At 51.9% G+C, this 26,404-nt stretch overlaps 1 protein-coding gene across 3 annotated transcripts in view, besides 1 other annotated feature; it reads right to left on the bottom strand.

Moving 5' to 3' along the window:
* TEAD4 (TEA domain transcription factor 4) overlaps window positions 9,998–26,404 on the bottom strand; it is an 81,280-nt gene continuing 64,873 nt past the window's right edge. For all 3 annotated transcript variants that reach the window (NM_003213.4, NM_201441.3, NM_201443.3), the window contains 3 exons: window positions 12,566–12,706; window positions 10,415–10,567; window positions 9,998–10,309 (listed from right to left, as the gene is read on the bottom strand). In NM_003213.4, the coding sequence (NP_003204.2) occupies window positions 10,196–10,309; window positions 10,415–10,567; window positions 12,566–12,706 (408 nt within the window). In that variant the 3' untranslated portion in view covers window positions 9,998–10,195. The remainder of the gene's footprint in view (window positions 10,310–10,414; window positions 10,568–12,565; window positions 12,707–26,404) is intronic.
* Window positions 17,948–18,509: an enhancer, noted in NCBI's record as "H3K4me1 hESC enhancer chr12:3141331-3141892 (GRCh37/hg19 assembly coordinates)". NCBI's record gives its function as "activates a minimal SCP1, AML or CMV promoter by ChIP-STARR-seq in naive H9 embryonic stem cells {active_cell/tissue: H9 hESC(naive)}" and the evidence as "EXISTENCE:reporter gene assay evidence [ECO:0000049][PMID:30033119]".

Raw genomic sequence — 26,404 nt, 5'->3', positions numbered from 1 at the left:
AGACCAGCCTGGCCTATATGGTGAAACCTCGTCTCTACTAAAAATACAGAAGTCAGCCCAGCGTGGTGGTACACGCCTGTAATCCCAGCTACTCGGGAGGCTGAGGCAGGAGAATTGCTTGAACCTAGGAGGTGGGGGTTGCAGTGAGTCGAGATCACGCCACTGCCCTCTAGCCTGGGTGACAAAGCGAGACTCCTTCTAAAAAAAGGAAGGAAGGAAGGAAGGAAGGAAAGAAGGAAGGAAGGAAGGAAAGGAGAAGGGGAAGGAAGCTGAATCCTAAACCAGGGAAAGCCACAAAGGAGCATGACTCATACCACCAAACCCTTCAAAAGTCATGAACTGGTGGCACCAGGTATCTCTGGAAGTAGAGGTAGAGATGGGGCCAAAGACAGAAGAATTGACCAAATTGAGCTCAAGAAGAGATAGATTCCCCAAATCTCTCCTCAACCCCGTGCAGTTGGGGGACTTCCCCTGCACAGCTCAGGCAGCAGCTGGGAGTTCTCTCCCTGGGGGACACCAGCTACAGCTGAACGCGAGAGCACACAGTGCATGAAACAGGGGGATTAGTGAAAGTTTCCATACTGCAGGTTGAGACATTCCAGCACTTGGTTCCCAGAATGCTGGTGGCCACATGCTCTCCCCAGCAAGCAATTGAAGAAACCCCATCCATGGAATTTGACCAGGCCAGGAGGAAATACCCTACAGAAACTCACTTCCTAAAATAAGAGCCCAGTCAGATGGTCACAGAGCGCGACCCAGTCTCCAGCACCTGCTGCACAGTCAGAGCCTCTCATTGGCTTTTAGCGCCCAGTCTTAAGTTTGAACAACTAGGACTGCTGGGCTTCTGAGGAAGGGCTCTGCCATGAATGGCCAAGACCCAAACTAACCAAGAGAAAGCCAACTGGGAGGAAACAGATGGAGCGGGAGAAAAAACCACCTCCCGAAACCGCTACTCTCCTCTAGTAAATGATTAAAGATACACCCTGTGGAGCAGGACCAGGACGTCACTCCAGCCCTCTTTCTCCACCTGAACATGTGCGCTCTCCTGCCTCCACACACTTGCCCTGGGCTCCTTCCCCAGGTCTTCACGTGGCTGGCTGCTGTATCGCCTCAGAGAGGCCTTCAAGGACCACCCACTCTGAAAAAGCCATTCCAGCCACCCCCTAATGCAGGAGTGGGCAAACTTTTTCTGTGAAGGGTCAGATAGTAAATATTTCAGGTGCTGTGAGCTGTATATGGTCTCTGCCACGACCACTCAGCTCTACCACTGTGGCATAGAAGCAGCCAGAGAAGATCTGTAAACAAGGGACTGTGGCTATGTTCCAATACAACTCTATTTATGGCCGGGCGCAGTGGGTCACGCCTGTAATCCCAGCACTCTGGAAGGCCAAGGCGGGCAGATCACTCGAGTCCAGGAGTTCGAGACCAGCCTGGACTACATGGCAAAAACTCGTCTCTACAAAAAATACAAAAATTAGCCAGGCATGTGCCTATGGTCCTATCTACTCTCGAGGCTGAGGCAGGAGAATTGCTTGAGCCCAGGAGGTGGAGGCTGCAGTGAGCTGAGATAGCACCACTGCATTCCAGCCTGGGCAACAGAGCAAGACCCTATCTCACAAAACAAACAAACAAAACTCTATTTGTGGACACTGAAACTGGAATTCCATATCATTTTCCAGGGTCACAAATGTTATTCTGCTTTCAATTTTTATTCAATCATTTTAAAACAAAATCCTGCTGGGCATGGTAGCTCACACTTGTAATCCTAGTGCTTTGGGAGGCTGAGGTGGGAGGATCACTTTGGGCCTATGAGTTCGAGACCAGTCTGAGCAACATAGCAAGACCCCACCTCTACAAGAAATTTTAAAATTAGCTGGCAAGGTGGCGCTGTCCTGTGGTCCCAGCTACTCGGGAGGCTGGGACAGGAGGATCACTTGAGCCCAGGAGGTTGAGATTGCAGTGAGCCGTGATTGTGCCATTGCACTCCAGTCTGGGCAACAGAGCAAGACCCTGTCTCCAAACAAACAAATGTAAAAACCATTCTTAGCCAGATGTGATGGTGTGGGCCAGTAGCCCCAGCTACTTGGGAGGCTGAGGCAGGAGCATCACTTGAGGCCAGGACTTCAAGACCAGCCTGGGCAACAACAGTGGGACCCTGTCTCTAAGAAAAACAAACAAAACAGGCGCTGGGCTGGACTTGGCCAAACCCTACTCCAACACATCATCTGGTTTTATTTTCATCAAAGCACACATCACCTCCTGCTGCTTTCTTGTTTACCTACCTTTTTTGTTGCTTGTTTCTTGGAAGTCCCCTGCTAGAAGGGAGGCCACAGGAGATTGAAGACCTCTGCATTCTGCCCCACTGTATCCCCAGCACCTAGGACTGTACTTGCTTCTAGCGTTTGCTCAGGAAATGCAGCCGTTGGCTGTGGCAGAATAGCACTGGGCCGCGCCAGCCACCCTCACCCCGCTCATCACTGCTGGCAGTGCCTGAAAGGACAACTCTCAGGGACAATAACGGGACTCCCAGCCTGGCTCCTCCCACATCCCTTCCACTTGTGTTTTCCTGTTCCTTTCTCCTTCCTTGCTTTCGTCAGTCTCAAATTGTAAGCCTGTCTGTGATGCCCAGCACAACCCACAAGCCTGAACCAAAAAGAACTCAGTCTAAAGCAGACCCTCCTCCACCCTCCCAGCCCTAAAGGTGAGGGGTCGTGTTGGGTCACTGGTCCAGCCTACAGTCTGAAAGGAAGGTGCTGAGCATGCGACCGGCAGGCCTCCTGTCTCTCCGCCCAGACGGGGAGAGGAAGCGGGGAGAAACTGCTCCAGGTACAAAGGAGGCTTCGGAATGATCCCCCTCTGAACCCTAAACTACTAAAAATGAGTGTAGTCGAGCAGCCAACTCTCAGGTGCTCAGTAGTGTTTGGGGAGTGACCGCTGGCTGCGTACTGTACCCTATTCAGCAGCATCGTCGCTTTCTGCATGATGTAATGCAGCAGTCCCCAACCTTTGTGGCACCAGGGACTGGTTTCATTTAAGACAATTTTTCCACGGATGGAGCGGGGAGTGCAGGTGGGATGGTTTGGGGATGAAACTGTTCCACCTCATATCATCAGGCAATAGATTCTTTTTTTTTTTTTTTTTTGAGACAGAGTTTCGCTCTGTCGCCCAGGCTGGAGTGCAGTGGCGCGATCTTGGCTTACTGCAAGCTCTGCCTCCCGGGTTCACGCCATTCTCCTGCCTCAGCCCAGAGTAGCTGGGACTACAGGTGCCCGCCACCACGTCTGGCTTATTTTTTTTTCTATTTTTAGTAGTAGAGACGGGGTTTCACCATGTTAACCAGGATGGTCTAGATCTCCTGACCTTGTGATCTGCCCGCCTCGGCCTCCCAAAGTGCTGGGATTACAGGCGTGAGCCACCGCGCCTGGCCAATAGATTCTCTTAAGAAGAGCGCAACCTAGATCCCTCGCATGCACAGTTCACAGCAGGGTTTGTGCTCTTGTGAGAATCCAACGCCACGGCTGGACAGGAGGCAGAGCTCAGACGGTAATGCTTGCTCTCCCACCTGCCGCTCACCTCCTGCTATGTGGCCTGGTTCCTAACAGGCCACGGATGGGTACTGGCCTGCAGCCCAGGGGTTGGGGACCTCTGATAGAATGGACTTGTGGTGGCAAAAAATGTTGTTGGGCACGGTGACTCATGCCTGTCATCCCAATTACTCAGGAGGCTGAGGTGGGAGGATTGCTTGAGGCCAGGAGCTCAAGACCAGCCTAGGCAGTATAGTGAGATCCCATCTCTAAAAAAACAAACAAAAAGTCATTGCTAACCAATGTCCAGAAAAAAGGATTTCTCGATTCTCGGATGGGAGAATTCAGGTCCCTGTAGTGGACGCAGGGGCACCAGGTCCTCAACATCAATGGCCTGCAATCCTTTAAGGTTGGGCAACTCCGTGCGTAAGCACTGGCACAAGCTACCGTGTGCAAGTGATCTGGTGTTCCATGGAGGAAGGAATGTGCTGACAGGCAGATACAAGCATTCCCATGTGCTGGGAGCGGTGCTGTTCCGTGTGAATTAATGAAGTGGCACTTGGGCTTATCAATCACGCTGCTCTGATTTTGGCTAGCAAGTCAGTCATGTGGGCTGCTAGTAAGCCTGCTTATTCCTGAGCCAAGTGCTAGACTCGAGTTCCTAGGATGCCAAGCTAGGGATCACATCTTGCCGGCCCCTGCCTGAACCTCTCCCTTTGACCACTCTTCAAATCCAGGGGGTCCTGTGTCCATTTAGTGTTGCTCCTAAAGGTGCAGTGCTCACAGAACCTGGTGACAGAACTCCCTCCTGGAACCTCGCTTGGGGACAGTAAAGGACTGAGATAACCAGATAGCCATGGAGACACTTGTTCCTGGGGAGCCCAGGGATACTGGCTTGAACCTGACCCCAGGCTGGGAGGCGTCCCTGAGTGCTTTTCATTCTCTGGGTGGGGGGGGGGTTGGGTGGGAGGCTGGGCAGCTTGCACGGCTGAGTCCCCGCTTCCACTGCCTTGCTTCAGGCTGTGATGGCCTCGGTGGCTGCGACCTGCTGCTGCCACCTCTGTGTTCTGTGGACAGGTGTGCACCTGTCATTTCCAAGAAAAAGATCACGCACACAAAGGCCTTTGTGTATGTAGCAGACTTTACTGAAGATTTGGAGAGATGAAGGGGTTTTACATAGCAAAAATACAAAAAAAACTGAAGGTTGAGTATTAGACATCCATGAGCTGAAGAAGACTCAGCCACTTCTACCAATGGGGCTCCCGCCTTCTACGAAGGCACCTGACCACCTCTCCCTGCTGTTTCTCAGGAAGCTGAATGAAAGCCAGATTTCCTGACAGTTTCTTAGAGTATTTTAGTCCTCCATTTGCTCTGCCCTCCCCCCCTTTTTTTTTTTTTTTTTTTTTTTTTGAGATAGGGCCCTGCTCTGTTGCCCAGGCTGGAGTGCAATGATGTAATCTCAGCTCACTGCATTCCTGACCTCCTGTGCTCAAGCGATCCTCCCACCTCAGCCTCCCAAGTCACTGGGACTACAAGAGCACGCCACCATGCCCTGCTAATTTTTCTATTTTTTTGTAGAGATGGGGTTTTGCCATGTTGCCCAGGCTGGGCTCAAGTGATCCTCCCGCCTCAGCCTCCCAAAGTGCTGGGATTACAGGTGTGAGCCACAGCACCCGGTCTGTCTTTCCTTTCTAGACCTTCCCTTGGGACCTCTTTCTCCCCTTAATGGGCCACAAAGTTATCTCCCCGATTTAGAACACTCCCTCCCCTTTCCTGACACCCAGATGAGGACGAAAATCTAAAAGCACAACCTTGCACGGGGCAGTTTTCGCTAAACCAAGACTCAAGGTCTTCTCCTCACCTTCTTTGAGGGACATTAGAGCTTTTTTTCTCTAAAAATAAGTATGCGTGCATGTGCGTGTGTTTTAGGGGCAGGAAGGGCGGAGTCAGGGGACATTTTTACACACCCACATTTCACATTCCCTGAGCTCGCCGTGAGCGAGGGGTGGCCCTGCTCCTTCACACACCATGACCTGTCCTCCTCCCAGTGGCAGTCCCAAGTCGGAGCATTTATTCCCATTTCACAAATGAGATTATGAAGTTCCCTAGAGGGTGTCTGTCCAAGATCACATGACTTGTAAGAGGTCAATTCAATCACTGGCCTGGCTTAACTTTAAGTTCTTTTTTTTTTTTTTTTTTCTTTGGGAGACAGAGTTTCGTTCTTGTTGCCCAGGCTGGAGTGCAGTGGCGCGGTCTCGGCTCACTGCAACCTCCACCTCCTGGGTTCAAGCAATTCTCCTGCCTCAGTCTCCCTAGTAGCTGGGATTACAGGTGCCCACCACCACACCCAGGTGATTTTTGTATTTTTAGTAGAGATGGGGTTTCGCCATGTTGGCCAGGCTGGTCTTGAACTCCTGACCTCAGGTGATCCACCCACATTGGCCTCCCAAAGTGCTGGGATTACAGGCGTGAGCCACTGCACCTGGCCAAGTGTACATTCTTAAGAACAACGTACATAGATTGGGGAAAAGTATCTCGTTTTCATTCTGAGAGCTAATACAACAGAGAGTGTACGAAGAGGTCAAACACAGGGACTGCTGGGTGGAACACACTGCCACTCCCCCTCCCCCTCCCCCTCTGTGCCACACACCTGATGTGGCCCCACCCAACACAGCCACGACCCTCCTACCCCCCACCACCTGCCCAGTGTCCTCTGAGTCTCAGCCCAGCAGAGGGAGCAGGTGCATGCTCTAGGCACACACAGGGTACAGGAGCTGGGCGAGGCCAACCATGCCAGCCCCTCGCTCCACACCCCACCGGCTTCCATCCTGAAAGGTAATACACACACGCACACACACACCAAATTCCTGTGTGGGTTTCTTTGTTAGAAAGATCATCCCACTCTGAAAGATGGGGGCCAATGGGAAACAGTCTGCTGGCTCATGGCTGGACCCGCTGAGAGAGATGGTCTGTCTCCCATCCCCATTTCCATCTGGACAGTGCTGCCTGCTAACTCGGATCATGTCAGAATGGTGGAAGAGTCTCTATCCCCACAGGGCTCAGGGACCCTTCCTCACCTCACAGGCCCAAGGGACATGACCGCCTGCCATGTGCATTCGCTCACTCATCAAACAGAACCAGGAAATGAGGTCTCACTGTGCAGAGCCGAGTTTCGTGGGAAGAGCCCGAAACACACTATCACACATGCCTCTCTGAGGTCCACAGCAGCCCACTGTCGTTTTCTAGAAAATCTGATCAAAAAGACTCCCCTGCTTAACACACTTCCAGGACTTCCCATCACACCGGGTAAGGTCCAAAGCCCTCGCCAAAAGAGGTGGTACCACCGGGCCACCTGCTGCCTTTCCCCACCTGGAATGCCCTGGCCCCCTCCTCTCTCCTGTTCACTCTGTTCTCTGTACCTGGGACACATCTGTCACCTCCCTGCCCCCAGCACCTGCTGTTCCCTCCACTTGGAATACCATTCCCCCAGACCCCCAGGGCTGGCTCTTCTTGTCCTTCAGAATCAACTCAAGCCCCACCACCTCAGAGAGGCCTCCCCCAGCAACTCGATCTCAGCGCCTGCGCAGCCTCACCACGCCCGCCTGTCTCCTCACTTGCTTACTCTGCTTCCCAAGGAGCCTGTCTGTCGTCTTCCTCACTGCCACATCCCCACTGCCACATTCCCACTGCCACATCCCCACTGCCACATCCCCACTGCCACATCCCCACTGCCACATCCCCACTAGCTAGCACAAAGCAGAAGTTAAATAAGTATTTGCTAAGTGAATGGATGGATGCATGAATCATCCAGGCAAGTTAGTGGAGCTCTCCGTGCCACGTTTGCCTCATCTGTAAAATGGGGCTAGCATAGTACCCATTGGGTGAGGATGAGAAGAGACCACAGAGGCACCTGTGTTCAGGCACCATGCTTGTGACAGGGGTTCTAACAGGGCATAAATGCAATGCTTTTGACACACAAGGGCAGGCATGACTGTCTTCTGCATGAGAAGAGGGGATTCCTCTTTGGCTCTGGAAGAATGAGTGCCAGATCACAGATGGAAGACGGGATGAGAACCACGGGCTGGGGGTGCTGGGAAGTAGGTGATTCAGGGCGGCTAGTGGGGAGGCAGCAGGGGAGCCTCAGAGGAGGCTGCAGGCGAGGTGGGGCCAGCTCACCCATTTGCCTCAAGGGTCATGGTCTGCACCACACCACAGGGAAGGCAGCTAAGTCTGCCACCTGCTATGGTTGACTGGCTTGGATTTTACACCTGTAAGGAGGTGACTGTCCACTAGGCTGCTGAGGTCAGTTCATAGAGGAAAGGAAAACTCACAGCCAACACCTGGACCCAAAAACATCTGCACTGACCTCTTTCCCAGCCAGGACACAAAAAGGTTATCTCTTTAAATGTGCATTTGTCCTGCGGCCAAGAGGCTGCTGGCACAACACATCCTTCCGTCACAGCGCTGGTGCTGCCAATCAAGCTAGAAGGACGGCCAACCCCAGCTTCCCTTATTCAATCCCCCAGGGACAGGGGAGGGGAGAGAGTGAAGGCAAAGGCTGTGCTGGTGCCTGGGGGTGGGGGCAGGAGAGCCTTACACAAACACGAACCCACACTGGGACATGTAGGCACCTGCCACCTGCTCAGGGGCTCATCCGACCCCAGGTTCCCCTAGAGCCCATGCCCCAGCTTCTGACGAGAGCTGGGCCTCCAGACTGCATAGCTCTGCAGCCTGGCAAGAGGTGTAGCGGTGGTCCTGATGCCCAGAGGGGTTTGGTTAAAGCTGTTCTTTGGTAAGACAGTGGGGGCTGGGCCGTGGAGGAGACTAGGCTGCTGGCCTCTTCCCCACATCTGGGATGCCGGTCAACTTCCCTCCATCTGCTTCACTAAATGCTGCCCACCCTTTAAGGGCAGCTGCCCTCAAGACTACCCTTCCCTGAGTCTTCTGCACCTTGATCTCTCCAGTCTCTGAGCGCCTGTGGCTTTGAGGATCACTTAATAGTTTTCCAGTCGGCCCTAGTGAGACTGCAAGCTCCTATGATTAATAACGACGTACATTTAGTGAACACATTTATGTGGGGCACTATGCTAGGCACTGTAGATACGCGAGGTAGGTTATCGTTATACAAATTTTACAGATGGGGAAACTGAGGCACAGTGAAATGAAATAACTTGCCCCAAGGTCACTCAGCTAGTCTGTAGCTTGTCTGACTCCAGAGCCCTCGCTCCTAACCACACTCCAAGACACCTCTTCGATGCTGTCTTACTTATGTAGTCCCATGCACTATCTCCACGAGTGCCAGACACACGGTAAACATAAACACCCCTAGGTTGAATCTTCCTTCCCTTTCTGCTCTAGGCTACTGGATCTGTGGTTCCTATGAGGGAAGATGACCCCAAAGAGCCACTAGGTGGCAGCAAGCAGCCAGATTCTGGCCTCCCCATGGGAGGGAGGGAGGCAGGGAGGCAAGGAGGCAGGGAGGGAGGAGCTCATTGTTAGGTGTATTAGTACAGCTTGCACCAGGCGCTTCACAGACTCCATCTCTTCCCACTCTACAGAGAGGAAAGGATACTAAGGTTCAGACAGGTTGACAAATGCCCAAGGTCAGGCAGCTTAGAATGCTAGGACCGAAGCCAGGAATGGCAAAACTCAGAGCCCATGCCAGTTCTCAGGAGAAATAAACCCAGGAACCCCTTCAGCTGCATATCTAAGTCTAGGCTCAGGGTGGGGTCCACTCCCCTCCTCCACCCCCGGGGAGCACAGAAACTACCCCTCAGGGAAGAAGTTAGATGGTGCAGGCTGGCTCTGAGGAGGCCTCCACCTAACAGGCACCCTGGCTGGGACAGAGTTTGAACAAGCCTCACAAGCACCAATGGCTCTCGGGGACCAGCGGAGCACCAGAGACCTCTCATCAACCTCCTGGCCACAGCCAAGAGGACACTGGTGCACCCAACCTCCCGCCGAGACTCCTCAGGCCGGCCTCAGCCCTGCCGCCTCCTGCCCTCCCCGCTTCAGGGTCCTTTGATTTGAAACCAGTGCCCCCAACGTGGTCACGGAAGATGGTCATGGAATCCACATCCATTGAGATGGACGGAAACTATCCAGAGAGTTCTGACAGTGTCCCCGTCCAACAACTGTCACCGCCACACCTAAAACCCACCCCCCAGGGGATGGGGCCTCTCTGTGTGAACCGTCCTGGGAGTGCAGCAGGGGCGCACGTGGCTGTGGGTGCGTGGCCCATGCATTCATCGGGCCTCACGGCGTGGCCAGCACCACAGTGCAGGGGCTTGAGAGGTAGCACAGGGACTGTCACATCTTCAGTTCCAGGGTCCGGCGATGTTCCTGGCTGAGTCCATTGGGACGCTGGCTTCAGAACTGCCCGGGGTACGTCTCTGAGCACTGCTTCCGGCCTGCCTCCCAGACGGCCCCCTTGCTCCCCCAGTCCCTCCCGAGGCTCACACAGCCAGACCAGGTCCTCTGAAAATACACAGCATCTTGGGTTTATTTGGGGTTGGGCACCTCAGGTTCAGGCACAGTTTGTTCCTGGGTAGAGTCACAACTGCTCCTCTCAGCTCTCTTGGCACTTCAGGGGGCTGCCCCTGCAGGTCCCCTCCCCACGTCCCCGTTTCCTGCACACACGTCTCTTCCCCCCTCCCTGCTCCCCGAGTCTCTCATTCTTTCACCAGCCTGTAGATGTGGTGCTGAGCCCCGTGCTCACTGGCTGACACCTCAAAGACATAGGCAATGCACAGCAAGGTCTCCTGTGTGTCTCTGTTGGTGACCACCTGTGGGAGAGAAAAAGACAAGGGTTAATAAGGCCCCAGAAGGGGCATGCCATGGCTGCTACCCACACACAGACTCCAGCCACACCCGCAGCACCCGCCGCACACCTGCAGGATGGTGAAGTTCTCCAGCACGCTGTTCATCATGTACTTCTCAGGGAGGTGCTTGAGCTTGTGGATGAAGTTGATCATGTACTCACAGAGCGGGGACCGGTGGATGCGGTAAGAGTAGTGTCCATTCTCATAGCGAGCATACTCTGTCTGCAGGACCCGGGGAGAGCAGGGGCTTAGAATCCCATTCTGACCACCTCCAGCCCAGACCCAACTCCACGGGAAGGAAAGGCAGAAAGCCTGGGGGCCCTTAAGAAAAGAGTCACCCCCAGCCAGGGGCAGTGGCTCACACCTGTAATCCCAACACTTTGGGAGGCCAAGGCAGGCGGATCACCTGAGGTCAGGAGTTCAAGACCAGCCTGGCCAACATGGTGAAACCTTGTTACTATTAAAATACAAAAATTAGCCAGGCACGGTGGCGCGTGCCTGTAATCCCAGCTACTCTGGAGGCTGAGGCAGGAGAATCGCTTGAACCCGGGAGGCGGAGGTTGCAGTGAGCTGAGATCGTACCACTGCATTCCAGCCTGGGCGACAGAGTGAGACTGTCTCACAAAAAGAAAAAAAGAAAGTCACCCTCTTAGGTTGGTGGACATTAAACAAGACCTCCTTTCTCCATGGGTGGCCAGCAGGAACCGGGGATGGCAGGAGGGGAGCTTAAGGAGACACAGGAGCAGTGGTAGGAGCCTCTCAATCCTGACTGTACATGAGGACACCATGAGGGGCACACAGGGACCCCTGGGAGTCTGGTGGTGATCATGCAAATTTCCCTGTCTACACACACGCATGCAAGCGCACATAGGAGTGCCGATAAAACTGGTGAAATCTGAACCAGCTTGGTGGACTGCATCAACGTCAATTTCCTGGTTGTCCACTTTACACTCTAGTTATGCAAGATATGGCCAGGGCAAGAGCTGGGTAAAGCGCACATGGGATTATGAGCCCAAGTGGATCCACCATTATCTCAAAAGTTTTACAAGTTTAATTAGAAATAAATAATTTGAGGAACTTTTTAAAAACCACTAATGCCTGGACTCTACCCTAGAGACTGAGGGGTGATGAATGGGTTTCAGGCACTGGTGTGTTTCCAAAGCTCCCAGGAGACTGCAAGGTGCAGCCAGGCGGAGAAGCACTGTGTGGAGTAATGTCTCCTCCCTGGTGCTGGCCGGGCATCTGGCTGCATTTGGCATGAGGAAGGCTATCAATAACTGACAGACTGTGAGAGTAGGACTTCATTAATTCAGACCAATCTGGGGAAGGGGTGAGGAGAGGGACGAAGACTGGCCTGCACGGTGAGGAGGTTTAACAAGTGTGTGGGCGGCACAGGGCCCCGGACTCTCAGAGTCCACAGGTGCTTTGGGTTGGAGGCCTTCAGTCCCAGCTCCTTGTCACTGCCACTACGCAGCGGGCCCAGAACACAGGGTGCTGCAGGAGACCGTGTCACGGACAGTGAAGATAACTTGGCCCTTGTTTAGGGCCAAAATACAGAGGATTTTATCACAACCCCCCAGACACGCACCGGAAAGCAGGGTGCCTGGGTGGGGATTCACCTGCGCTTATGCTCCTCACCACTGCCCTGCACTGCCCTTGGCCGGGGGTTTAGCAGAGTGGGAGAAACCATAAAAGGCAGGCCTGAATTTTCTGTAACTTCCATTAGAGCAGGGTCTCCAGGGTACCCATAAGCAGAAAATCAGGGAAGGAACAGTTTTAGGCATTCATGGAGTTCAAAGTGAGCAGGGGACAGAGATCTTAGCCCTGCTTCTGCACTAATGAGCTGTGTGACCATGTGCGGGCGATTGGTGGGAGGCCTCCGCTCTCTCTGGGCCTCCACTGTGAAGCCAGAGGGCTGGACTAGGTAGATGCCCAGGGCTCTGCCTGTGCTGCGGCTCTGCTCTTGGAGAGGACCGGGGGTGCCTGCAAGGACGTGCTTGGAAGATCCTGAAAGGGCAGCAATGGCTCTGGTTAGCTGGGCAGGACACTGGTGCCAAGGGGAGTGTGGGAGGCACACAGCACTGACAGCAGACAGGGAAGGCAACAAGGGATTATCCTGGCTCCCTAACGGAGGGCATTCCTCCTGAAAGCAAATGGAAGCCATGCCCAGCAAACACAGACCACTGCCACCGGCCCTCACCCGCCAGGGTGGCCTCCTACCTCAACTTTCTCCACCACCTGCTTGCCGAAAGAGCAGACCTTCGTGGAGCAGGTGATGATCATGTTCTCGGGGCTCTCATACTGGCTGGAGACCCCATAGAAGGAGCTGCCTTCATCCTCGATGTTGGTGTTGAGGTCTGCCTGGAGGGAGACAGTGGGAAGGCGAGGGAGTGTCAGCAGGTGCCATGTCAGACGGGAGCATCAAGGAGACCTCAGGGTCCCGGTCCCGGCTCTAGGGCTGGGAAGAAATCAGACTGAGGGTAGACAGTAGGACGCCAGAAAGCTTCCACATTCCTCTACATCTCTGCCTGGTACAAAATCAGGTCGTGTTGCCTAAATCATGGGAAAAGAGGACACTGGGACCCACACAGTTTCAGGCCACTGCTGCCTGCCCAGATATTAACACACCCAGCAGGTGGGAGCCCCAGATTCCATCTTTAAGATTTCAAGTTTCATAGTCTAAGACTTTGTTCTTGTTAAACTGCAAAGGTTTGAATCTCTACCAGTCAGCTCTATTTTAGTTTGAATGCGTCTATCAGAATTATTCCAGAGTCAATTTTGATAGTGCAGGAAGCATGAGAACAGAAAACCAGGGCAAGAGACCGGCAGTGGGGAGGGTGGAAGGGGTGAATGCTGCTCCTGTCTCATCCTCTTGTCTCGCCAGAGACCTGATCGATGCTCCCTCAGAAACGGCTCTGGGGCTGGCCTCTTCCCCCTCTAGGCACTGCTGGGTCCCGTCACCTTGGATCTTTTGACATCTCTGCTTCAGCCTCCAGAGCAATCTCCCCAGCACCAGCTGTCCCTCCCTTTGGTTCATTCTCTTAACTGCCCCGGGAATCTCTTCAGAAGTCAAGTCACTTCACCGTCTCATTGAGCCATTTAGCCACAAGGGACAGGAGTCTTGGTCCCCGGCCTGGCTCACAAGGCCCTTCACAGGCCCAGACACTGGTCCTCTAGGTCAGCTTCTCACCTTGCCTCAGACAGGCTGCTCTTCCTTCCCCTGATGAAAACAGAGCCCAGGGGGCCTCCTGCTGGATGTGGGGCTGATCTGAAACTTCCCTTCTAGAAAAGGCGGAGTAAGACTCTGTGCTGATCTCACACCCAAAACCACGGCCTCGGTTTTATCCATGAGGGGTCCTGACTGTTAGCCTTGCCCAACACCATCCAACTAGTAAGTGAAAGACCCCAGGTCTTCAGCCTCCAACCCCAATACTTGTCCCAAACCAGCAGAGTGCCACAGCGAAGAAAGGAAGGCACCAGATGAGACAATTTGGTGCTTTGGGGACTCTGAGGCAGGAATTGTATTCCTGAAGCCCTACGCCTTAGGGGTCCCCATGCCCAGAACTCCAGCCCCACATCAAATCACCCCATCTGAGCCAGGGGTGCTAAGAGAACAAGTCAAGACTCAGAAACAACGCACAGGCACATTACAAAGGCTTATTCTCAGGGGAGGCCGCTCCTCCCACCCACACCCCGGTCTGAAATCACTGCAAGCTGTGCCCAGAGCGCAGCCCTACGAATGCAGTAAAGCGTCAGGCCTTGGTCAAGGTTCTGACACCAAGGACTCTTCTGTGCAAAGATAAGGGGATCCCTAGAACCCCAGGAAGGTTTTGGTCAGATTCAGAGCCAGGCACCAAGCAATTCTACTACTGGCCATGAGGGGACACTCAATCGTTATTTTTCTCTCCTTTGGAGAAGTTTTCCCAGAGCAGGACCTTTCTCTAGACTGGCGGTGGGTGTTGATTGTCTATAGCACAATAGAAACATTATGTAGCCACAAAAAAACGCTGAGAAGGACCTGCATTTATTATCATGGATGACTACAAACACACTGAGTGGGAAAGCAGGCTACGGAGCAGAATGAGGGTGGATTACGTTTATGATGAGGAAAAAAAGGCTGTTTTCATGCTGAAACAGAATGGCATATGGTTCAGTGCACCTGCCTCGGCTTTGATGAGGCCTTTAGGGAAAAAAAGCATTCGTGTCAATGCTCAGCCTCTGAAACAGACAGCAGCATTTATCCTAAACACCCTCCACTACCACCCCTGAGCTGGCCTCAGTCTCCCCACTCTGTCTCCATCTGTGATGCTGGGAGGGAGGGGATGACACATTGTAGGCAGGGTGCCCAGGATGGCATGGCAGAGGTGGCTGAGGCCTCTGCCGGACTAGATTTAACTGTGGCTGTGACTGGCCGAAGGTCTTACAGGCAAATATAAGGTGAATGGGACCAGAACCCAGGCTTTCGGGCTCCTGTTTTCTTCTTCTTCTTCTTTTTTTTTTTTTTTGTTAAAGACAGAATCTTGTTCTGTCACTCAGGCTGGAGTACAGTGGTATGATCACGGCTCACTGCAGCCTCGAACTCCTGGATTCAAGCAGTCTTCCCACCTCAGCCTCCTGAGTAGCCAGGATTATAGGCATGTGCCACCACACCTGGCTAATTTTTAAATTTTTTGTAGAGGCAGGGTCTCGCTGTTTCCTAGGCTGGTCTCAAACTCTTGACCTCAAGTGATCCTCTCACCTTGGCCTCCCAAAGTGTTGGGATTGCAGGTGTGAACCACTGCACCTGGCCTGTCTCCTATTTTCTCGAAGTCACCTGCTCCTCCTAGGAGACTGACTTTGTCAGACTGTTCCTAAAAAGGGCCTGGGGGACAGTTTGTGTGCTCAGGACATATTCTGTAGCTGGAAGCACAGGGCAAAAATGTGAACAATGCCTGAAATGCCGCTGGCAGGAAGCCCAGCTGCCTGGGAAGGATGCACTGGACATGGTGGGGAACACCAAGAGGTGAGGCCAGGCATCAATGGTGGTGACCCTCAGATTTTAACCGCGCATGGTCCCTCTGATCAATGCCACATTCATGTGCCATCTACGACACATCCTGATTCTTTGAAATCAACTCACTTTTATTCCTTAATTCCATTCTAAGCAATAAATCCATGAAATCAAGGATTCTATTCTTTCTAATATATATGAAAATAACTATATAACTATTTTTTTAATTTTATTTTTTGAGACGGAATCTCGCTCTGTCGCCTGGGCTGGAGTGTGGTGGTGCAATCTCAGCTCACTGCAACCTTCGCCTGCCGGGTTCAAGTGATTCTTCTGCCTCAGCCTCCTGAGTAGCTGAGATTACAGGTGCCCACCACCACGCTCGGCTAGTTTTTGTATTTTTTTTTTTTAGTAGAGGTGGGGTTTCACCATATCGGCCAGGCTGGTCACGAACTCCTGGCCTCAAGTGATCCACCTGCCTCGGCCTCCCAAAGTGTTGGGATTATAGGCGTGAGCCACCGCGTCTGGCCTATAACTATTTTCCATATTTTCAAATAAAGTTATTTTAAAACACAGGGATAGGGCTTCGCCATGTTGCCCAGGCTGGTCTCGAACTCCTGGGCTCAAGTGATCCTCCTGCCTCAGCTTCCCAAAGTGGGGGGATTACAAGAATGAGCCACTGAGCCTGGGCAACTACTTAACTATTTAAAAAAATGCATATTCACGTGCCATCTTAGAAGAATCCAGTGTGCCAAGCTGGGAAGGACTGGCATCCACACCTCCCAGCTCTTCCAGACACACAGAGGCAGCGGCTGCCCCCAGCCCCCAGGAGCAATTGGCAGATCCCCCTCTATTACCCTGCTTGTCATAATCTGTCCAGATGTCCTTGCCCCCTTCCAGATACGATGCTCCCTGGAGGCAAGAACTAAGCTCTCCCAGGGCCTTAGTAGGGTGGGCCTTCAATCAAGGTTGCAGGCGGCTGTTCACCCTCTCACCTCCGGGTGGCACCAGTGGGAAGAGCAAGGTCCCTCAGGCGCAAGCAGGAACCTACCCTGTCCTGCTCACCCTGAGAGTTCTGCGCCCCAGCTCCACCCCCATCTCAGATACACTCTTCTGTCATCAGCTCCCACTCCCTGGCTCTTCCCATCGCTCAGGTGCCCATTTGTCCAGCCCAGGCCAGCAGTGCTAGAGGCAGGGGGGCCCAGAGAGGTTGAGACATTGTTTCTGCTCTCAGGGAATTTATAATCGGGAGAACAAATAGAATGCAAGTGCTAGGGTTGAGCAATGGGTCAGGGGGAGAAAGAGAGATCCCACAATCAGCCCCAGAACTCATGTTCACACTGCATAAACCCGGAACACACCAGCCGGCGACACGGACGAACCGCCCCAGAGCACCTCGACTCGTCCTCAGTGCCTGGATCCTTCTAATTACAGCCTCACCCCTTCTCCTGCAGCTATACTCCTTCCTGACATTTCCTGTCCACCCTCATATCCCCCCACACTGAGCAACCACCCAAAACAAGCTACGCTTCTTGGCCTAAGAAAAAATGAGAGCTGCCCCGGTCCCCTGCCCTGTGAGTGCCCCCTTGCAACCCTCCCTCCGCCCTATTCATAGCTGTGCGTGCGGGTGGGCAGCTGTGCCTGGAACAGGTGTGGGGGATCGGGTGACTGACAGATGAGCAGAGACAGCCGCAGCCCGGGTGTGGGGGCCTGGAGGGGCTCAGATTCATTGTCATGTGCTGGTATGTGCCTGGGAGAAATGTCAGGGACTGAAAGGGAAGAGCAGGCTGAGATGGGAGGAAGGCCTGGGGTACTCTGCTGCCTCCACGGTGCAGCCCGGCTCTGCCTGGCATTTCCAATGTGCAGAGCGGCGTTAATGGCCACCAAAGGCCCCCTCTCACCGGCCCCAGAGACAGGTGGCCTCTGCTGGACTTGCGGGGCTCTGGGGGAGGAAGGGAGCTTCATCGCATCAGTCCCTCGCTCCAGGCCCCGTGGCGCTCAGCAGATAGGGCTGAGGCTGTGCACAGCCCTAGCAGCCTCAGCCCTTCAGGCTGGCAGATGCCACTTCTAGCTGGAAATGTGTCCCAGCAGTCCGAGAGTCTATGAATGACCACCACAGCGCCCTCAGTAAGAGCAGTAACTCAGGGGACAGGCAGGGAGGCTGGACTGGAGACGGACAAGTCCTCCTCCCACTCCAAGGGGGTTCTGATTGCCTCTCCAGCACACACATTCAGGGCCTGGGAGCCAGGACTGAGAAAACAGCCAGGCAGGAAAAGAAAGGCTCCGGGAGAGGCGACACCGTTTCCTTGCCTGAGCAGTTTTCCTTCCTAACTGTGTGTGGCCAAGTTCACACCAGCTGATGGAGGGGGAAGGCGGGACCAGGCCAGGGAGCAGAAGACAGGAGCTTCCCGATGCGGGGGGAGCCGGGGCAGCCTGTGAGGACCCACGATTGACGCAAAGTCTCATTGTCAGCAAACACGAATATGTACCTTTCCCCGTCACATATGTGTCTTCCTCTGGTGCCTCTGCCCGCCCCACACATGCGGAGGAGGGAGCAGATGACCGCCAAGGTGCCCTGGCCTCCGGCGCTCCCTCATCTCTGATTTCACCTGCCCAGGCCGCTGGCACTCAGAGGGCTCAGGCAAGGGGTGGGGCAAGGGCAGGCCACAGCCCCCCACTCAGTACCAGCCGGCCACATACACGGGGTCTTCAGCGACACAGCCCCTGGCAGGTCCCCAAGATCAAACTGCTGACTATTCACACAAAGAAGCAGAGGCACAGAGAAGCCAATATTTGCCCAGGACACAGTTCTCAAGTGGTAGAACTGAGACTCTGCCCCAGCTGGGGCCAACTGCTGCCCACCGTGCCCTGCCATGACACATCAGAAGGGCCTTGCTGGGGGGCACACCACAGCCCCCTGTCCAGCGGCTCCTGTCCCAGGACCCCGAGACTCGCGCTGGATCCTCCCATCCAGAGTGCGAGCTCCTGGAAGCCGAGGGCCGCGCTGGGTCCGTACAGCACACGGCTGGAGCACACGGTCCACAAGGGAACCTGCTGAATCCCATGTCTTTGGCACCAGCTGTCCCAACCCTCTCTTCTCCCATCAACCCCCACCTCCAAACTCCCCTAAGAGTCAGAAAGAAAGAGAGGACACAGGCCACTACCAAGTTTGGAAAAGTACCTTCTAGGTCCTCCTTCCTTCCTGGCAACCTTAGTCTCCACGCAGGGCCACTGCCCTATTTTCTGGAAGGGATATCTGAGGTCGAGAACGCCCAAGAAGCCCAAGGGGCTGGCTCTACATTGACTGCACAGAGCTAAGTCTGCTCTCCCCACGCTGCCACTGCCTGCTGTTCCTCAGGGGGCTGGGGATCTGTTTTAGACAATTCAGAGCCTTCTCCAGTGGGAGCAGGAGAAGCTCCAGGATGCTGCATGGAGGGCAGCCAGTGACTTCGCAAGGAGGACTGTTTAGTATGGTGGCTCCAAGCACACACCCTGGGGTCAGGCTGCTCAGGTATGGACCCGTGGTCTGGTATGGGTCTGGTACTATGAACTGGGCAACCTTTGGCAGGTGATTCTACCTGTCTGTACCTCAGTTTCCCCTCTGCAGATGAGGTTATCCAGTCTTGGCTGTGGTGAGGATGAGACGTGTGACTGTATGTAACGTGGTGAGAAGAGTGCAGCTGTCATCTCTCTCAGTCTATCTGGGCCCATCTATCTCACAGCATGTATCCAACAGGAGTGCCCACAGGACAGAGGTCACCCTGGCTGGGGGACTCAGGGCCAGGCCCTGCTTACTCCATGCCTCAGTTTCCCCTACTTGTGAAACAAGAGACCTAGGATGGTCCTTATCTGGAGGGTGGCTAGAAGAACACAGAATATCACCAATAGCTAAAGGCAGGAGCTAGTGCAAGAGGGTCCCGGACATGCCACCTCCCGCTCCAAGGCAGTGTTCCCATGAGTGCTTCCTGCCACTGCCAACTGGGTCTCCGCTCTGACCCCAACTGTATCCCCAGGGTCCTGAGCCATGCCGGGAAAGAGCCACAGATCAGCTCGCCTAAGCTCCTTCCGCTGAGTCAGGGCTGAGCCTGGACAGGCCGGGGGCGGTGAGTGCTCAAGCAAGGGTGAAGGCTTCTCCAGGGGGCTGGGGGCCCCCTCAGACTCACAGCAGGGTTGGGAAGCGCCACTGCCAGCTGTACAGGTTCCAATTCCCACAACCGGGGCTGGACGGGAGACTGGGAGATGATTTAAGCCCCTCCTGAGAAAAAGTGGACAGCATCCTGCCTCCCACGCCACACCCTGAAGCCAGCCTCTCGGCCGAGGTCCTCAGGAGGCACATGCGTCTTGCCTGGTCTCCACTGCAGGAGTCTCACACCTGCTTCCAGTCTGGGTGCCAGAGTTAACCAACTAAGCACAACCCTGGCCACGTCCTGCCCTGTTCGAAAACCTTAAATGACTCCTCATCGCTTAAGGAGAAGGGCTAACAAATATTTCCCTGGCTACGCACGTGGCCATGACCGTCCACCCAGCACTCCTCCCTGCTAGAGCCTTCTCAGCCCAGCACTCCAAACAGCGACTGCCGACCCCTTCGAAGTGGCACACAGGTCACCCCATCATCCTGGACACCTGGCTAAAGGTGGGAGACTGACTACCCCAGTTTATTTTTTCCCCTTCCAGAGACCCAGCTAGAAGGACAACAGCAAGTAACTTTAAACAATATGCAGCACCACAAAGATAAAGAAAACAAAGAGACCAGCTGACAAGAGAGCTGGGCAAGCTTTGGAGACTCAAAGCTGATTAGGACCACACTGGATTCCACGGGGTAGAGAAAGCAAAAAGAGTCACAACCTACCAATATCTTCAGGGGTGACAGATAAGAAGCTGAGCTGCGTGGCTCGGAGCTGGAGGGAACAGGATTTGTCCCCAGGAACTGACAAAAAGTCTGTACACTGGACAGTCCAGCCCCCAGGCCCACCCCTCCCATGCATCGGTAGAAGATCAAAGGGTCAGCCGGGTATGGTGGCTCCTGCCCGTAATCCCATTACTTTGGGAGGCTGAGGCAGGAGAATGGCTTAAGCCCAGGAGTTTAAAACCAGTCTGGGCAACATAGCAAGACCCTGTCTCTATGAAATTAAAAATTAAAAAACACACCAACAAACAAAAAAACTTTTTAAAGAGGACCAAAGGGTGACCATCTTCAGAAATTAAACAGGAGGGCAACAGGTCTCAGGGACACAGGGCTTATTCAAAAGAGAGGGAAGAGGGGGAGTAAGAACAGGAGAGTTAAGTGAAAGCCAGCATCAGAAATGGTCAGGGCCCCTACCCCCGACCCTTTATCCCACTACCAGAACACTTGTGACCAAGTATGTCCCTTCCAGGGAAATTAGATGAATCGTCTCTGGAGAAACTAAATCACCTCAGGGGGAAAAAAAAGTCCAGTAAACACACATATTTATTGATTTCCCCAATAAAACAGCTAGCTCCCCAAGCCCAATCACCCTAAAGCGAAACCCACCAGGTGACAAGTCCTACCTTGCACGAAGAGCTCCCAGTCACTACTAAATATAACCAGAACAAATAACAAAAGGAAAACTTGATAAACTGGACATCATCAACACTAGAAACGTTTGTGCATCAAAGGACACTACTAGGAATGTGAAAAGGGGCCAGGCACAGTGGCTCACACCTGTAATCCCAGCACTTTGGAAGGCTGAGGCAGGAGGATCACTTGAGGCCAGGAGTTCAAGACCAGCCTGGGCAACATAGTGACACCCTCTATAAAAAATTTAAATAAAAATAAAAACTTGGGCCGGGCGCGGTGGCTCACGCCTGTAATCCCAGCACTTTGGGAGGCCGAGGCTGGTGGATCACGAGGTCAGGAGATCGAGACCATCCTGGCTAACACAGTGAAACCCCGTCTCTACTAAAAATACAAAAAAATTAGCTGGGCGTGGTGGCGGGCGCCTGAAGTCCCAGCTACCTGGGAGGCTGAGGCACAAGAATGGCGTGAACCCGGGAGGCGGAGCTTGCAGTGAGCCGAGATCATGCCACTGCACTCCGGCCTGGGTGACAGAGTGAGACTTCATCTCAAAAAAAAAAAAAAAAAAAAAATTGGCCAGGCGTAGTAGTGCATGCCTCTAGTCCCAGCTACTCAAGAAGTTGAGGCGGGAGGATCACTTGAGCCCAAGTTCAAGGTTGCAGTGAGCAATAATCATGCCAGTGCACTCCAGCCTGGAAGACACAGCAAGACCCTGTCTCTGAAGAAAAAAAGAAAAAAGAATGTGAAAAGACATTCAACAGAATGGGAAATAATAATTACAAATCATATAACTGATAAGGAACTTTCATCCAGAACTAAGAACTCATAATTCAATAATAAAAAATAACCCAATTTATTATAAAAATGGGCAATGGGGTTGGGGACAGCGGCTCACACGTGTAATCCCAGCACTTTGGGAGGTTGAGGCAGGCGAATCGCTTGAGCTCAGGAGTTCAAGACCAGCCTGGACAACATGGTAAAACCCCGCCTTTACCAAAAATACAAAAATGAGCTGGGCATGGTGGTGCGTGCCTGTAATTCCAGCTACTCAGAAGGCTGAGGTACGAGAATCAGTTGAACCTGGGAGGCAGAGGTTGCAGTGAGCCAAAATTACGCCGCTGTACTCCAGCCTAGGTGACAGAGAAAGACTGTCTCAAAAAAAAAAGGGCAATGGACCTAAATTTCTGAATTGGCATTTCTACAAAGAAGATATACGAATGGCCAGTAAGCACATGAAAAGATGCTTACCATCATCAGTCATCAGGGAAATGCAGATAAAAACCACAATGAGATACCACTTCACATTTGCTAGGATGGCTACAATCAGAGAATATCAAGTGTTGGTGAGGATGTGGAGAAAATAGGATCCTCATACCCTCATACCCTGCAGGTGGGAACAGAAAACGGTGCAGCCACTTCGGAAGACTCTTGGGAGTGCCTCAGAAAGTGAAAGAGAGTTGCCATATGACCCAGTAATTCCAGACATAAGCATATGGAAATGAAAATGAACGTCCACACAAACACTGGTACGTAATGTTCACAGTAGCACTACTCCTAACAGCCAAGAGGAGACAACCCAAATGCCCATGAACTGATGAATGGATAAACAATGTGGACTCTCCGTACATTTGGCCATAAAAAGGAACGTACGTGCTACAACATGGTTGAACCTTGAAAACACTATGCCAAGTTCAAGAAGCCAGTCACAAAAGACCACATCCTCCACAAACCCTTTTATACAAAATGTCCAGAATAGGCAAAGCTTCAAAGACAGAAAGTAGATTATTGCACAGGGCTGGGGGGTAGGAGTGGGGAGTGACAGCTAAAGGGAACAGGGCTTATTTTCGGGATGATGAAAATGTTCTAAAATTGATTGTGGTGATGGTTGCACAACTTTGTGAATATACTTAAAAACTCGGAATTGTATACTTTATTTTTTGAGATGGGATCTTGCTCTGTCACCCAGGCTGCAGTGCAGTGGTGTGATCTCAGCTTACTACAACCTCTGCCTCCCAGGCTCAAGCGATCTTCCCATCTCAGCCACCTGAGTAGCTTGGATTACAGGCACGCACCACCATGCCTGGCTAATTTTGGTATTTTTAGGAGAGATGGGGTTTTGCCATGTTGGCCAAGCTGGTCCCCAACTCATGGACTCAAGCAATCCACCCGCCTCGTCCTCCCAAAGTGTAGGGGTTACTGGCACATGCCATCACGCCTGACTAATTTTTGTATTATTTTTGTGGAGACAGGTTTTTGTCATGTGCCCAGGCTGGTCTCAAACTCCTGAGCTCAAGCAATCTGTCTGCTTCGGCCTCCCAAACTGCTGGGATTAAGATGTGAGCCACTGTGCGTGGCCTGTATGTTTTAAGTAGGTGAACTGTAAGGTAAGTTAATTACATTGCAAGAAAGCTGTTAAAAAAATACAGACAGGCAGCTAAGAACTAAAGACACCAAAGAAAACCCTCCAGCTGGAAAGACAAGGACCAAAACAAACAGAAAAACGGAATTAAAAAGAAACAAAGACAAAGAAAGGAGCAGGAGGCTGGGTGTGGTGGCTCACGCCTGTAAATCTATCACTTGAGGTCAGGAGTTCGAGACCAGCCTGGCCAACATAGCGAAACCCCTCTCTCTACTAAAAATACAAAAATTAGCCAAGCGTGGTAGCGGGCACCTGTAATCCCAGCTACTTGGGAGGCTGAGGCAGGAGAATTGCTTGAATAGGGAGGCGGAGGTTGCAGTGAGCCGAGATCACACCACTGCACTCCAACCTGGGCAACACAGCAAAACTTAGTCTGGGCGTGGGTTGGGGGAGGGTTAGGAGCAGGAGAAAACTTAAGAAGTAACACTTACTTCATACCTTTAAGAAAAAGAGGAGAAAAACTACATCCATCAAACATCTTGATGCAATCACAGAACAAGAAGGAGCTCTGGAAAATTAAAATGTCAGAGCCGAAATTAAATATTCAACAGAAGGTGTGGCAGAGATGCTGCTGTATTCCACTCATCTAATTCACCCTTAACTGTAGGATGCACACTTTATAAACTACCCAGAAAAAACAAAATGTCATCAACTGAACTAAGATACATCCATAAAAGGATGTATGCAGCTTCTTCTACAGTATTACAGCTCTGATTTTATTCAGAACAGCAACTTACCCAACTAAAAAAGTACCTTTCCCGGGTTCCTTACGGCAAGATGCAGCCACACAACTAATTATGGGGCTTCCCAGCAGGCCCCTTACAGGGAGCTAAACTGGCTTCTTTTGATGGTTGGAAGATGGCTACAGTGGCTGGAACTCCAGCAGTCATGACCCTGAGTACAGAAGTCATACACTGAGGACAGCAGATAGAGAGAAGCCAGGTCCCTCATGATGTCAGGAGCACTGGGCCAGCACTGGACAGTCTTTACCTCCAGACTTCCTTGATGTGAAAGAAAAACTATTTATGCCACTGTTTCTTTGGGGTTTGTGTGATATGCACTTGGACACAACCTTAACTAATTCAGAAAAGAGTCAGAATACAAAATTAAGGAAATCGCTAAGAAAACAGACCAAGATTGAAAATAAATGGTAAAAATCGTAGAGGATAAGTCCAAGAAAATAAAGAAATGGTAAACATCATAGAGGGTTCCAACATCATAACAGAGATTCCTGGAAAAGAAAACAGAAAACAGAGGGAAATAAATTATCAAAGAAATAATACGAGTACATTTCCTAAAACTGAAAGACTCATCTCACAGTTAAAAGTGCCTACCAAGTACCTGGCTCAAGACGGGGAAGTAAAACAACACATATCCCAAAGCTCACCAATGTGAAACTGGCCATTAGGGAGAAAGAAGAAACATTACAACTTCCAGAGGAAAAAAAAAAGTTACATAATAAAGGATAGGGAATTAGAATGCTATCAGACTATTTATGTCAGAAGATAATGACAAATGCACTAAAGAATGATCCTCGAAAATCATTTCTAGGCCAGGCACGATAGCTCATACCTGTAATCCCAGCAATTTGGAAGGCCGAGGCAGGAGGATCACTTGAGACCAGGAGTTCAAGACCAGCCTGGCCAACACTGAAAAATCCCATCTCTCTTAAAAATACAAAAATTAGCCAGGCCTGGTGGCACACGACTGTAATCCCAGCTACCTGCAAGGGTGAGGCATGAGAATTGCTTGAACCTGGGAGGTGGAGGTTGCAATAAGCCAAGATTGCGCCACTGCACTCCAGCCTAGGCAACAGAGCGAAACTCCATCTCGAAACAAGACCCTGTCTCAAAAAAAAAAAAGTCATCATTTTCTAGGGAAAATGATGTATGATCTAGATTCTTTATCCAGACTACCAATACCAATCAGTCAAGTATAAGGATATAATAAAAATAATGACATTTCAAAGAAGCAAGGTCATTTATGTACCATGCATCTTTTCTTAGAAGGTACTAGAGGATGTGTTCCCACAAAATGAAGGGGTTATACCAATAAAGAGAGAAATGCAAGAGCTAGGAAATTGTATCAATATAGGGGAGGCTCAGGATGACAACTGTAGGGCAAGCCTAGAGAATAACATGCTCAGGCCGGGCGCAGTGGCTCACACCTGTAATCCCAGCACTGGGAGGCTGAGGTGGGCAGATCGCCTGAGGTCAGGAGTTCAAGACCAGGCTGGCCAACACGGTGAAACCTTGTCTCTACAAAAAGACAAAAATTAGCCAGCCATGATGGTGGGTGCCTGTAATCCCAGCTACTCGGGAGGCTGAGGCAGGGGAATTGCTTGAACCAGGGAGGTACAGGTTGTAGTGAGCCGAGATCGCGCCACTACACTCTAGCCTGGGCGACAGAGTAAGACTCTGTCTCAAAAAAAAAAAAAAAGAATAACACGTTCAAACTGGAGCAGAACAGAGGCAGCCAGGAGAAAGATCTCCAGAAGAAAGGAGAAATTGATAAATTATCTAACAGTTTTGAATATTTGGGGGAAAAAAATTTTAATTTTATATGGTGGTTCTGATGGAGCAATTTGTAAAATTTTAAGAATAGGCTTATTAAAAAATATGCAAGAGCCATTTATTTGCAGGAAAAAAAAGTTGTACAAGAGGTAAAAATGTAATCATAATACCCTTCTTGACTCTTTGTACTTTTGTTTTGTTTTTTGTTTTTTTGTTTTGAGGCAGGGTCTTGCTCTGTCACCCGGCTGGAATGCAATGGTGCGATTTTGGCTCACTGCAACCTCTGCCTCCCAGGCTCAAGCAATCCTCCTACTTCAGCCTCCTGAGTAGCTGAGACCACAGGCACACACCACCACACCCAGCTACTTTTTGTATAGATGGGGTTTCATCATGTTGCCCAGGCTGGTCTTGAACTCAAGTAATCTGCCCACGTTGGGCTCCCAAAGTGCTGGGATCACAGGGATGAACCACCACACCCAGCCCGTTCTTGGCTCTTTGGTGTTCAATCTACATTGTCAAAAAATGTGAACATTACTTTGGGAGGCTGAGGCGGGCAGATCACGAGGTCAGGAGATCGAGACCATCCTGGCTAACACGGTGAAAC

Source organism: Homo sapiens, chromosome 12 (assembly GCF_000001405.40).
Source record: "Homo sapiens chromosome 12, GRCh38.p14 Primary Assembly".
In the NCBI taxonomy this organism is placed as follows: domain Eukaryota; kingdom Metazoa; phylum Chordata; class Mammalia; order Primates; family Hominidae; genus Homo; species Homo sapiens.
This window is presented reverse-complemented; position numbering and strand designations above follow the sequence as displayed.